Below are 12,880 nucleotides of genomic sequence, written 5' to 3'. Positions count from 1 at the left end.
GTGACAGCTTCCACACGCAGGCAATGTGACCTCACCCATGGACGTGACAGTGCATCCACAGCACATGAGCGAACATTTCCTTTCAGCCACAGGAGGGCGATACCATAGTCTTTTGATCTCTCAAGAAAAAATACACACTGGAAAAATGCAAGGTATTATGGTTACTTATATAAAGCTTCTTACCTGTGCACATGGGCCTCAATAACCATAAGAATCATCAAACCTAAGGAAGAAACATTCTCAATTAATTCTGGGTTGGAAGTGAAGAGACAGGATTTGATATCAGAAAGGACGCCATAAAAACTGTCATGTGCATATCACTTAAAAACAGATGCTGCCACGGGGCTTGAGCCACCAGCCCAGGGAATGTAGCTCCCTTTTCCTGTCACCCACCTTGGAAGTCACAGAGAACGCGAGCAGCCATTAGGTGCACGCCTGGCAGTGCCGGCTCAGGGAGGCTGCAGGAGAGGAGCCCAGGCCGGAGCTCAGGGTTCCTGGTCCGGGCTGCCCTCTGAAAGTGTCCTCGATCATGTCGAGGTCCTGGGTATTACAGGGTATGCCCTCAGGTTCGTCATGTCAGGTTCAGGACCTCGCTTCCAAGAGCCAGTATCATATCCACAAAACTGGAACTAGGGTGGAAGCTATCCCTCTGTAACAGTTTCCCTCTTTGTAAAATGGGAATAATACCACTTAAAGCCTTCATTCTTACCCTTGAAAATGATAGAGTTCTGTGACTGTAGAATGCTATTGAGGACATCCTCCTCCTTCCTGCTTTTTACAGAGGATGCCCCATCCCCTGTCATCTTCCTCCAGTGCACAGTGTGGATGATTTCATGGGCTCGTCTTTGCCACATCTAGGCTCTGGTGGATAGTTCAGCCTGTGATCCTGTCACTGTTGGGTGTGACCTGCATAAGCAAATTGGTCACAGTGGTGTGGCCGTCCAGGCACCTCGCTATCCCAGGTCTCTTCCGAAACCCATCACCACCCTCGCTGGACTGATGTCTTTTCTCTACCCAAACCCACTCCTCCTCGTGCGTCGTCGAAGACTCTGTGCAATTCTCAAACCAGAATGTCCACACATCCTGGGTTCCTTTCCTGGGCATCGTGGGCTATTTAGTAGCAAGTCCTGTTACTCTGTCTCCTTCACATACCCTCCCGCAGCCTCAGCTGCTTAGGACACCCTTCTCTCTGGCCTGGAGCACCACTACAGCCTCCTAGGAGGACTATTCTGGTTTCACTCCCTCAAATCCATCACAGAGAGATCTTCCTGGGGGAGATGTTTTAATTTTTTTGTTTTCAAATTTGTTATATTTTTATTAATAAATGATAGCTACATATATTTATGGGGTACAATGTGTTTCAGTATATGTATATATACACATTGTGGGATGAACAAATCAAGCTGATTAGAGTACCTGTCACCTCAAATGTTTGCCATTTCTTTATGGAAGAACATATTTAAATCCTCTCTTAGGGTATGCTGGCCAAAGGGAACAAAGTTTCAGATGGGTAGCAGGAATCAGCTCTGGTGACCTATTGCATAACACGGCGACTATAATAAATAACAACATATATTCCTAGTGAAAATCTTGACCAAGTCACTTCCCCATTTAGAATATTCAGAGGCACTCCACAGCCCACATGGTAAGACCCAAACTCTAACTTGATGCACGAGCCCTTGATGCCAGGTGTCTGAGCACATTTGCTGCCTGTGTCTACTAAGCCTCTGTCCCTGCACCCAGCCACCATCACACACACACTCCCGGTGTGCAGTGCCCTGCCTCTGGAATCGGTGGGTATGGCCATCTGGGCTCGGGTGCCAATGTTCCCTCCGTTTCACCCACTCACCCAAGCTTCATGACTTTCAGGAAGTCATCCAGACTCCTCCTGGCTCTGGGTGGGGCGTACATCCCCGGTGCTCCTGTGCGCATCCTCAGTGCTCCTGTGCACACATCTTCAGTGCTCCTGTGGGCATCCCCGGTGCTCCTGTTCACATCCCTGGTGCTCCTGTGTGCATCCCCGGTGCTCCTGCATGCATCTCTAATGCTCCTGTTCACATCCCTGGTGCTCCTGTGGGCATCCCCGGTGCTCCTGTGTGCATCCCTGGTGCTGCTGTGTGCGTCCCCAATACTCCTATGTGCATCCCCAGTGCTCCTATGTGCATCCCCAATACTCCTGTGTGCATCCCCAATACTCCTGTGTGCATCCCCAATACTCCTGTGTGCATCCCCGGTGCTGCTGTGTGCATTCTTGGTGCTCCCGTGCTCATCCTTGGTGCTCCTCCTGTGTGCATCCTGGTGCTCCCGAGTGAGTCACACACATTTCCACGGCCACCCCTCTCAGCTGTATTTTTACTCTCTGCTTCCATGGTGACCAGTCTAGATGGAGGAGCCCTCCACTGTGGATCCTTGTGTGTGCAGGCTCAGGGAAGTCCAGGCTCCAGTCACCCCTGCTGAATGAAAACACAGCTCACTCTCACCTTCCTCAGACCAAAATCTGCATGAGTCCGAGTTCTCCAGAGAAATAGACCGAGAGAGAGAGAGAGAGAGAGATTGATTTCAGAGAATTTTTTCACTCCTTTGTGGGGCTGGGAAATCTGAAGTCTGCAGACCAGCAGGCTGGAAATTCAGGTAAGGTCGATATTGAGTCCAAAGGCAGCGGGAGGCAGACCCGCCTGTGGCTCACCGTGTTGCTCTTCCCTGTCTGTTGCGATGAGAGGAGGCTGTGGTCACCTCCATGGCCACCTTTTAATCCATCTTAGCCTTGAGGACAATCGTCTTAGCTCTACTTACTTTACTGGGAGCTCATCAGAGTTTTCAACATCAGGACCTTCAAATTGCAGTTCTTTTCCTTTCTCCCTGTGCCCTTCCTAGTCCTCCCTCTCACCGGTACCAGTCTCCAGCTCCCTGGAGGCTGCAACACCCCTCCACCCTGGCTTTGACTCTCATTTCACTCACCTGGACCCGACTGTCAAGAGGCTCTAGGTCTCTGCTGGGCCAGAGAGGATCACCTCTGACCTCAGCACAGCCCCCTCACCAATGCCAGTCCCGGGTTCTCCCACTTTGCACTCTCTCTGCCTTCCCTCCCCGAATGCTGAGTTTTACTGGGAAGTCATAAAAATGCAGAAAGCGACAAGACCAAGAAGAAGCTATGTTAAACCTAGCAGAATTTTGAGATACCCTGCCTCTTATTCCTTCTTGAGGCCAGACAAGGACCCGAACGTTTGAATAAAGCAGAAGAATGGATGAGAAGATTGTGGTAGGCTTTTTTCCTTAGCATCTTCCCGACAGCTCATACCCTGGTTCTTGTTCTCATTTTATTCTCTCTTTCTTTCAGTTTTCCAGCTCTGCCCCCGTCTTTGCCACTAAATCTGCAGTGTCTATTGCTGGCCGTGGTCTCCCCGCTCCAGACGCCTTTCTGCCTGCATTGAGGAGAGAGACACTGACCCTGATGGGAAGCTTCCACACATGTGCAGGGGGCCCGCCCGTGGTGAGGTCTCTGCAGCATGATGGGGCTGGAAGCTGGCGGCTTTGTTGTGGTTATCTATAAATCTTCTGTTTGGGAACAGCCAGGCCTTTTCCTGAGTGGTCAAGGTAAGGTTGTGCGGCCATGCCCTGACCACCACCGTTCTTGGAGCTGAGCTTCAGGAGAGAGCTGGGGTCTCTGTGAATATTACGTAGGCATTTATTTAATCTCATTTCCAACATCGCACCCCTCCGACCTCTACTGGGCATGTGTTCCTGAATGTAAGCTTTGTTAAGTGTGCTCCCAGCCGACAGACAAAAGGGGCTCCCTGTGGCCACCTGATGCACTCAGAGTTAAAACAAGCAGGCGGCCATGGCAGGATAAGGAAGCGGCCACCCACTCTCTGTCTTCGGGAAGATGTTGTGAAAGTGTCATAGGACCTCCCTTTCTACAATCAGGCCAGACCAGTTCCTGTCGTTGGTGCTGAGCCAGACCTTGGCTTAAAATTCCCCACTGACCACCCGCAGGCCACCTGAGGCTGATGCAGAGAGACCGGCAAGGTCTCGCTTAAAGGCCTTCCCGTCTAGATCCTGCAACGAACTCCCCCTAAACTCCTATTCTGAAGGATTTGCCTTCATCATCTCCCAATCCCTGATCCCTCCACCTGTGTCTTACACCAAAGGCTGCGTGTCCACAATCACAGATTTTTCTAAAAGCAAAATCTATTTGCTTTTAGAAAATAAGGTTCTCCCGTTGCCTCCACAGATATCACCGGTCTTTTGTTAACAGCTTCCATGTCATTCTGGATGCCTTACGTCCTCAGCAGTAGCCAGGGCAAGGAGCCATGTGGGGAGGAGAGGGGTGTGGGACAGGCATCTATACCTCTCATGCAGACCTTGTCCACACTCTTCCTTTTCAGCCCGCAGGCTCCCCACCTCCCACAGCTACTGGTGCTCCAGTTCGGGAGCCTCTCCGGGTTCTTCAGAGAGCAGGGCTTAATTCCTAACAGCCCCCGTTTTCCAGGTGCCTGGGCTTCAGCCTTCTCAGCTCCACACACCATCTTTGCCACACACACTACGTTGGCAACTTTACCTGATACTGTATTTTCTCATTTTGCCTATTATTTTTGGTTTTGTGTATTTACAACATTTTATTCCTTTAGTTTTCATTTTAGAGAGGATTAGGAGAGAGAAGGAATGAACACTGTGTGAGGTCCGCCATGTTTAACCAGAAGTCCCTGTTATCTGCTTAATGACACCTTTCCAGAAGAAGAATTGCTGGGTCAAAAGCCATGCGTGTTTCACACGGCGAGTCGCGTTAAACTGTCCACCGGAAAAGTGCACTGACTTTTTTTAGCAGCAAGTAAGCGGGAGGGTTGCTCTTATTTTATAAATGCTATTTTTCTTTTGTATGATAAAAGAGACTTATTTTTGAGGCAACACATGATGACACCAGCGTATTTTAATTGGTACACTTCATTATAGAGCATCAGAAAAATAAAATCAGTGTGACGAGGCAGCAGCCCCAGAAGGCGGCCACTCATTGCAGCCACTGCCGGCCTGTGCTTTGTGAGCTGGACGGTTCTCTTGCCTCGTTCCAGCCTCAGTCTGCCTAAAAGTGGATATTCCAGACAGGAAATGTGTCTAGCCTGATGGTGAAGACTGTCTGGAGGATGGTTGGTTTTGAGGGGGATGATGATTTTGCAGGAAGGTTTCACAAAATTTGTCCAAGGTGGATTTCTGCTGTTGCTAAATTTTCCTGGTGTGCTAGGCAGGACAATGGTGGGAAAGTAAACCTGGAGTAAGAGAAAACACTCAGACTTCCCAAAGTAGACGAGAGAAACTTTGCGTTTTGCAAGGGAGGCGAGTGGAAGACCCTGTTGCAATTGTCTTGTGTTTCCATTTTGCTCAGTGAAGCCGAGTTTGCCCCGGGCCAACTGTGCTTGTCAGATGTGTGTGCTGGGGTGGGGCACCGCCATTATTAATGGCATAAGGTGGTGGGGTACAGGCAGGAGCAACTTGGAAATGGAAGCTCTGTGTCTTCCTTCGGGCAGCTGATTGCACTGGCTTGTCGAGAAGGTGTGGGTGTCTGGAAAGCGCCTATGAGGACCAGTAGTCAGGGGGCCAGCAGGAGCCACGGTGAAGAGAGACTGTTGCTAGTCAGGGAGCCGGCAGGAGCCACGGTGAAGAGAGACTGTTGCTCGGGGTCTCCCAGGATAGACCGAGTTGGGAACTAACTAGGTGGTCCCCATTGCCATGGAGACAACCTTCCCAGACAGCGATGGGGAATGGTGAACAGTCCACGAGGGAGACGCCGATTCAGGCTTCAGATGCAATTTCCTGGGATCCCTCGCTTACATTTTCTGCTCTTTGCTGAGTTCCGCTTTTCTCTCTATGTCTCCTTTGTTTTCTATTGTGTATTCTCTCCTTCTGGGGAGGAAGTGTGGGAAGCAGTGAAGAGGTCCTGCTCTGGAGATGAGGAGCCGGGTTGAAGGAAGAGTTGAGCACAGCGGACCTGGCAGGTGGGGGTGTCCAGAGAGGCTGTGGCTGTGCAGAGCAGCCGCCTGGGGGAGGCGTGCAGAATTGAGTCTGAACACATGGCCTTTCTGGTGCATCCGGCTAGATTGGGAATGTGTTGGTCTATCTCCCTTAGCAGCCCTGGTCCAAGGAGTACAATCAGAGAGATATAAGCCAATCACTCCAAGTTGTCATCTTTCTCTTCACCGTGCCTGGAAGAGGAAGGTAACTGTTTTGGTTTGTTAGAAAAGAAATACCAACCCAGCAGCTGAGAGATTTCCCCAGTGGACAGGCCTGTGTTTGGGAAGGAAAGTTAAAGCCAGTGGATTTCTAGTTCGCTTGTTTTCTCTAACAAGATATCAGAAGGGCTGCAGAATCCAGTTAATCCATCCAGTGGTATTTTTGAGATGAGGTAGCAGGTGCTTCAGAGCCAGAAAGACAGACTGTGGGTGGCTCATCCAGAGGCTCACTGAGGATTCTGCACCACAGATCTGTGTCCAGCAAACAAAGGAGCTGGGGTCAGAGCCAGTGAAACACAGGACCATTCCCCATTCAGTCTGGCAGATATTTGCTGAGACCTATAACAGAAAAGGTCTTTTACAGAGGTGTATGAAGTGGGTCCCTTGGCAACTGCTGTAATGCCTCCATACTCCTGGGTCAGAGACTGAAAAGAACTCAAAGATCTCTGAGAGCAGCATCCTGGGCTGCTGTCATGGCAATTCATGTACAAACGTTTGCAGAGTGCCCACTCTGTGACAGACACATCTCTGCAGGAGGATCCCGGGCATGGACACAGGGTGGGAGGTTTCCAGGATAAGAGTGTGCAGCTGTCAGGTGGCTTCATGGAGAAGTCTACACCTGAGCTGAGTTGGGAAGAATGAGTCAGACTTGGCCACAGGGAACAGGGAGGTATCTGTGTCCTGGAATGATCTGCAGGAGGAGAAGGAACCCACGTGTTGACTCGGAGCTGTCCTGGAGGGCTACCCATGGAGGGACCTCAGAAAAGTCTGGTCCCATGGTGCTCAGACATGAATTATAAACCATGAAGCCCAATATAAAAAACTGAGAAGATTGGGCCACTTACAGAAAAGGGTTGGGGCTCCAGAGCCCTGCCCTCTGGTCTAATCCCAACCTCTCAAGGCCCTGAGGCAGCTCTGGGAAACCCGACTATCTACAGAGCGTGGTCACCCTTACAGAGCCCGATCCCTGATTCTCACGAGTGGAGAGCTCATCGGTGCCGTGCCTCGCTCAAGCTCAGCGTATTGGTCTGTTTTCATGCTGTTGATAAAGACCTACCTGAGGCCGGGTAATTTATAAAGAAAAAAAGAGGTTTAATAGACTGAAAGTTCCACATGGCTGGGGAGGCCTCACCATCATGGCATAAGGTAAAGCCACGTCTTACTTGGTGGCAGATGAGGGAAGGAGAGCCAAGTGAGAGGAGAAAGCCCTCAGAAAACCATCAGACCCCGTGAGACTTACCCACTTCCATGAGAACAGGACGGGGAAAACCGCTCCCATGATTCAGTTATCTCCCACCAGGCCCCTCCCACAACACATGGGAATTATGGAACTACAATTCAAGATGAGATGTGGGTGGGGACACAGCCAAACCATATCAATCAGGACATGACAGTGGCAGACCTGGGCCGGGGTTGGAGCTCTCTAGATGGGAGGCAGTAATGCCTTAGTTACCTTTGTGAGGGAGTGAGAGAGGAGGGTGTGAGGGGGGAGTGAGGAGAGGGAGTGAGAGGGGAGGGTGTGAGAGGGGAGGGAGTGAGACAGAAGGGAGTGAGAGGGGAGGGAGTGAGAAGGGAGTGAGTGAGAGGGGAGGGAGTGAGAGGGGAGGGAGTGAGAGGGGAGGGAGTGAGAAGGGAGGGAGTGAGAGGGGAGGGAGTGAGAGGGGAGGGTGTGAGAGGGGAGGGAGTGAGAGGGGAGGGAGTGTGAGGGGAGGAAGTGAGAAAGGAGGGTGTGAGATGTGAATGTGTGTGGGAGGTTAGGGTGTGGGAGGTGAAGGTGTGAGACATGAAGATGTGTGAGAGATTAATGGTGTGAGCTTTTGAGAACCACGGGTGTGAGTGACGAATGTGTGTGACAGGTGATAGTGTGAGAGTTGTGGGTTTGACCAGTGAGCCATTCCCATCTTTCTCTGCTCATGCCCCTCAGGTGCTATTTGGGGTGTGGTCTCACTCAGGCAGACCGCCTGGAGCCTGCAGTCCTGGATGCTGGCCTTCAAGAGCCACTCTTTGCTTTATGTGGCCAGGCTTTGCCTAGCTGATGGTTCCTGGGACTTGAGCTTAGCAAGGTGGCTGTGGACAGGGACCTGGGCCGTCTCCCTGGTCTGGGGTCATCCCCGTGCCAGAAGCCAGCTCATGGAGATTGGGGCCAAACAGGAACAGTGTGAGTAGGGAGGAGAGAGGGTGGTGTGAACTCAGGGAAGAGGATGTAGGAGAGGAGGCAGCAGATGGGAGGCAGAAGGCAAGAACAGAACCAGAGAATGTGCCGGACTAAGCTCCCATGGGTGAGGCACCCTGGAGGATCCCACCCAGACAGCAACAGCCCATGCATAGAGGGTGGGGGAGTGAGGAAAGCAGCCCATGCATAGAGGGTGGAGGAGTGAGGACAGCAGCCCATGCATGGAGGGTGGGGGAGTGAGGACAAGCCTACCAAGCAGTGGTCAGGGCTGCCTGCTGCACTCCACGGCTCCTCCCCATGCTGCAGCCCCCAGGTGTCACCCAGCACAGTGGCCTGATGAGACCCTCCCACCTTTCTAGCAGTACCTAGGCCAGGTGGGGCTGGAACATCGAATGGGCAGGACAGCCGGATCCCACACCCGAGCAGCCACAGCGGTGGCTTTGAAGTGGCTTGTGAGCCACATCAGGCACTCAGGCTTTCTCCACAGACGAGGGCCTTGGGGGTCTTCCTAGTTGATGTCTCCCCAGGGCACCTGATTGGGAGGAAGACAACTGGCCCCTCATGAGCGCTGTGTCCCCGGCCACAGAACTAGTCAAGAGGGCTCTGTCTGAGGCTGGTGCCCTGGAATGATGGACACAGAAAGCCCTGGAAACGCCCCTCTGTGTCCTGGTCATTACTGTCCCCACAGCCCCATCCCTGGCTCTGAAACTTCGAAGGCATTAGTTTTACATCAGGCAGGCTCTGGGGGAGTTCTGTTCTCCAAATGCACCTGCTGAGATGGATCGGGAGGGTTTCGGGTAAGCCCTTTGCTCTGGGCAGAGCATTGAGGAGCTCTGGGGAAGGTCCCTGCCCAGGCGGAGCCGTTAGACGCCTGCTCCCTGCAAACCGTCACGCGCAGGGCGTAAGCGCAGCTGGCAAGCACATCCCTACTTCAGAAAGGGTTCAGAAAACAAGCATTGTCTGAGGATTAGGAGCACCTGACTACCCACACGGTTCAGCGCCACAACATCCAGGCTGTCAAGAGGAACTGTGGGAATAAATAATATTAAATGACAATTTGGCTGACAACAGAATGGGGTCATAAGAGCCATCAGCACTAGTTAATGGGAGGCTGTGAGGGTTCATTAGACCTGATACAGGAGGTTTGACTTGAAGTAATGGGGCAGATTGGAGGAGGAAAAAGTTGGTAGAATGATTAGGAAGAACAGGCGACGAGCTCTCTCACTCCGCGGGAAGTTGTCCCTGGAGGTGCGGTGGAGTTTCCCGAGATGCGGAAGATTAGACCAGGCAAAGACATAACATCCTCCGGGGATCAATTCTGCCTTGGCAAAGAAATGATCTCGATGATCGAATGCCTCTCCCGTCTCTGATTTAATGACGAGGTGCCCAGCAACAGAGAGGCAGAAGATATGGCCTCGAAAGGGAATGGGGAAATTATACTGTGAGGAGACTCAGGGTTGTCCCTCAATTTTTTCCTGTGCCGTGTTGACCAGGACACCTTGTTCTGTTAACCACTGAGTTCCCATTCACTATTTTCAAGGATTTCAAAAAGCCGTCCCCCTGGAAGACCATTTGATTCAACAACAAACGTACTGTTTTTTGACAAAGTGCATTGTATCCTTGCTACTCTAAGAGGTGAAGCATCTCAATTTGAACATGAATATTATCAGGAGGAACCAAACTACAAACTCGACACCACGCTGAGACATATAGTGTGGAGTGTGCAAGGGGTCTAAGAAACAGGCCCCAGTTGTGTGCCCGGTTCACTAAGGACAGACCTGTGATGTGTCTGGGTCTCCCTCACACTGAGAAACCGAGAGAAAGTAGGATATCAAATCACCAATGGGAAGAATGAGAGAAATTGTCCAAAACCAGCACAGGCAGCCTAAAGTTCATCAGCCCCGTGAGTGTGGTGGGGCTGGGAAGAGGCTTGCGTTCGTGGCCAGGGATGTCAAGAGAGGCCCTACATAGGGAGGAAGCAGGTGAGAGGAGCTGCCAGGAGGTTTCCTGTCACCTGTCAGTCATCCACGGCTGGTAACAAATGACCACAATGCAGTGGCATAAACAGTATTTATGATCTTGTAGTTCCTGTGGGGCAGGAGTCAGAGCTCAGGTTAGCAGGGGCTTTGGTTCTGGTCTCACAAGGCTGCAATTAAGACGCTGACCAGGGTGCATTCCCCTCTAGAAGCTCGACTGTGAAAGAATCCACCTCCATGCTCACATAGGTGGTTGCAGAATCCATCTCCTAGTGTTTGCAGGATCACTGGCCCCAGGTCCTTGCTGTCCATCATTTGGAGGACACCCTCAGTTCCTCGAGGTCATTCTCAGCTCCTAGAGGTCATCCGCAGTTCCTTGCTGGCAGGTCTTTCTTGCTTCATCAAGCCAGCAAGGAGAACCTCCAGTGTGAGTCTCCTGGAGAGGCGGCATCCAGGGTAGTGCAGTGTGATCACAGGCATGGTGTCCCTAACCCCTGCAACTGGCACATTCTGCTGAGTAGAAACCAGCCGCAGGTCCCATCCACCCTCACAGGGGAGGAGAGGCTGCCAGGGTGACAGTGCCAGGAGGGGACTGCCAGGACCCCCTTAAAGCCTGGGCTCCAATCCTGACAAACGTCCATCCTCAGGACATGCAATTCTAACTCTCATAGTTAGGTTTTCAGTTGCAATAATATATTTTAAAATATCAAGCTTCTTTTGAGTTTTACTCCTAAAAAATCTGAATAACCTCTTTTAATCTAAACAATTTTTCCTGCTAATTGTTAGTTTTATTCTACTAAAATTTGTCCAGTAGCATGTTTTCATGCACCATGTAAAGACAATTTTTTGAAGAGGACTCTCTCTCCCATAAGCTCCTGATCAGCTGGGGGTGACAGGACATCAAGGAGCTGTTTGTTCCCCCAGGATCCTGCCTCTGTCTCCAAGGCTGGGAGGTAGGTGGGGCCTCTCGAAGGCCTGCTGAGGAGGGAGGCGGGCCTGTGGGCTTGAGTGGTTGGCAGAGTGCGGGGGGTGGGGGGCCTGAGACGGATACATCAAACTGTGGGTCATTTATCTGTACTAATTATGTCATCAGAAATGCAGGTGAAAAAGGATGCATGAAGATAGTTTATTTTTATTTTTTAGTTTAAGTTCCAGGATACATGTGCAGAGCGTGCAGGTTTGTTACATAGGTTAACGTGTGCATTGTGGTTTGCTACACCCACTGACCTGTCCTCGAAGTTCCCTCACCTCGCCCTCCATCCCCCAGCAGGCCCTGGTGTGTGTTTATAAGGATGATTTCCTTCTCCCTAGCAAGACTTCCATGTGACAGGTGGAGGCCTCTTCCCACGGCCAGGCCCCTGCTTGCAGCTCTTCTCACTCCTGGCTCCTGCCTTCTCCAGGGCCCACGCTGGCTCCTGCATCCTCCACCTCAGTCACCCTGGGCCCCTTCCTGCAGGCACATCATGTGCTTATGTCTCTCCCACTTAAACAGCACATTAAAAAGTAAGAACAGGGCCACATGCGGTGGCTCAAGCCTGTAATCCCAGCACTTTGGGAGGCTGAGGCGGGCGGATACCCTGAGCTCAGGAGTTCAAGACCAGCCTGGGCAACATGACGAAACCCGTCTCTTCCAAAAAAAATACAAAAAAAAAAAAAGAAAAAGTAAAGTAAGAACATTTCTTGGTTCCCTTGCCCGCTCCAAGTGCTGCTTATTTCTTCTCTTCACATCCTTCCTTCCTGAAAGAATCATCTATCTTCTTCCTCTTCATCTGCTATCTCCCCTCAGATGGAGTCCCTGCCGTCCTCTCTGCCTTCCTCTTCTGTTCTTCCTTCATCCCACGTTTCCCTGAGCTCAGCGATGTCCTCTTTGATGGTAAAGGAAGCAGATACAACCCAGCCTTGGTTTTGCTTGGTCCGTCTCTGCACTGGACATAGGAGAGCTTGACCTGCCCTTTTCCTAGACCTCCCAGCTGCTCCTCTGCATCCCGTCCCTCCTGGCTGCTGCGGCTGTTTCCTTTGCAGGCTTTGGCTCCTCACGTGACCACTTCCTGTGCTCTCTCTGCATACATCTGCCACAGTTTTTATAAGTGTTCTTGTGTGATTAGACAATTCTGTTATAATATATAATTTTGCTAATGTAAAACATCAAATCTTCGTGTCTCGATGATCTCATCAGAATGAGCCTGCCTGGGTTCTCTGTGCTTTCCAGCCTCTGCTCCTCGCCCCTTTCCCTCTTCTCCGAATCCCCTTTCTAGACAACCTTCCCTAATCCCCCCAGTAGAGAATGATCCTTTCTTCTCTGAATTTTCTTCACCTTTCTATCAGACTTTCTTATGTCTTTTGTCACTTTTAACCTTGTTTTACATATTTTCATCTGTATAAGCTTCTCAGAGGCAGTGGGAGATGTATTCATCTTTGTGGCCCTATGTAAAATCTAACAAGTCATTTAAAGGGAAAGAATGTCTGCCCCACACTCTACCCCTAGAGACAGCACCTGCCCACACCTTACC

At 51.1% G+C, this 12,880-nt stretch overlaps 2 annotated features.

Moving 5' to 3' along the window:
- Positions 1,421-1,920: an enhancer, noted in NCBI's record as "H3K4me1 hESC enhancer chr2:2700671-2701170 (GRCh37/hg19 assembly coordinates)". NCBI's record gives its function as "activates a minimal SCP1, AML or CMV promoter by ChIP-STARR-seq in primed H9 embryonic stem cells {active_cell/tissue: H9 hESC(primed)}" and the evidence as "EXISTENCE:reporter gene assay evidence [ECO:0000049][PMID:30033119]".
- Positions 1,921-2,422: an enhancer, noted in NCBI's record as "H3K4me1 hESC enhancer chr2:2700169-2700670 (GRCh37/hg19 assembly coordinates)". NCBI's record gives its function as "activates a minimal SCP1, AML or CMV promoter by ChIP-STARR-seq in naive H9 embryonic stem cells {active_cell/tissue: H9 hESC(naive)}" and the evidence as "EXISTENCE:reporter gene assay evidence [ECO:0000049][PMID:30033119]".

The sequence above is a fragment of the Homo sapiens genome, chromosome 2, assembly GCF_000001405.40.
Source record: "Homo sapiens chromosome 2, GRCh38.p14 Primary Assembly".
NCBI classification, from domain to species: domain Eukaryota; kingdom Metazoa; phylum Chordata; class Mammalia; order Primates; family Hominidae; genus Homo; species Homo sapiens.
Note: the sequence above shows the minus strand (reverse complement) of the source record. Positions and strands in the feature narration are given on the sequence as shown.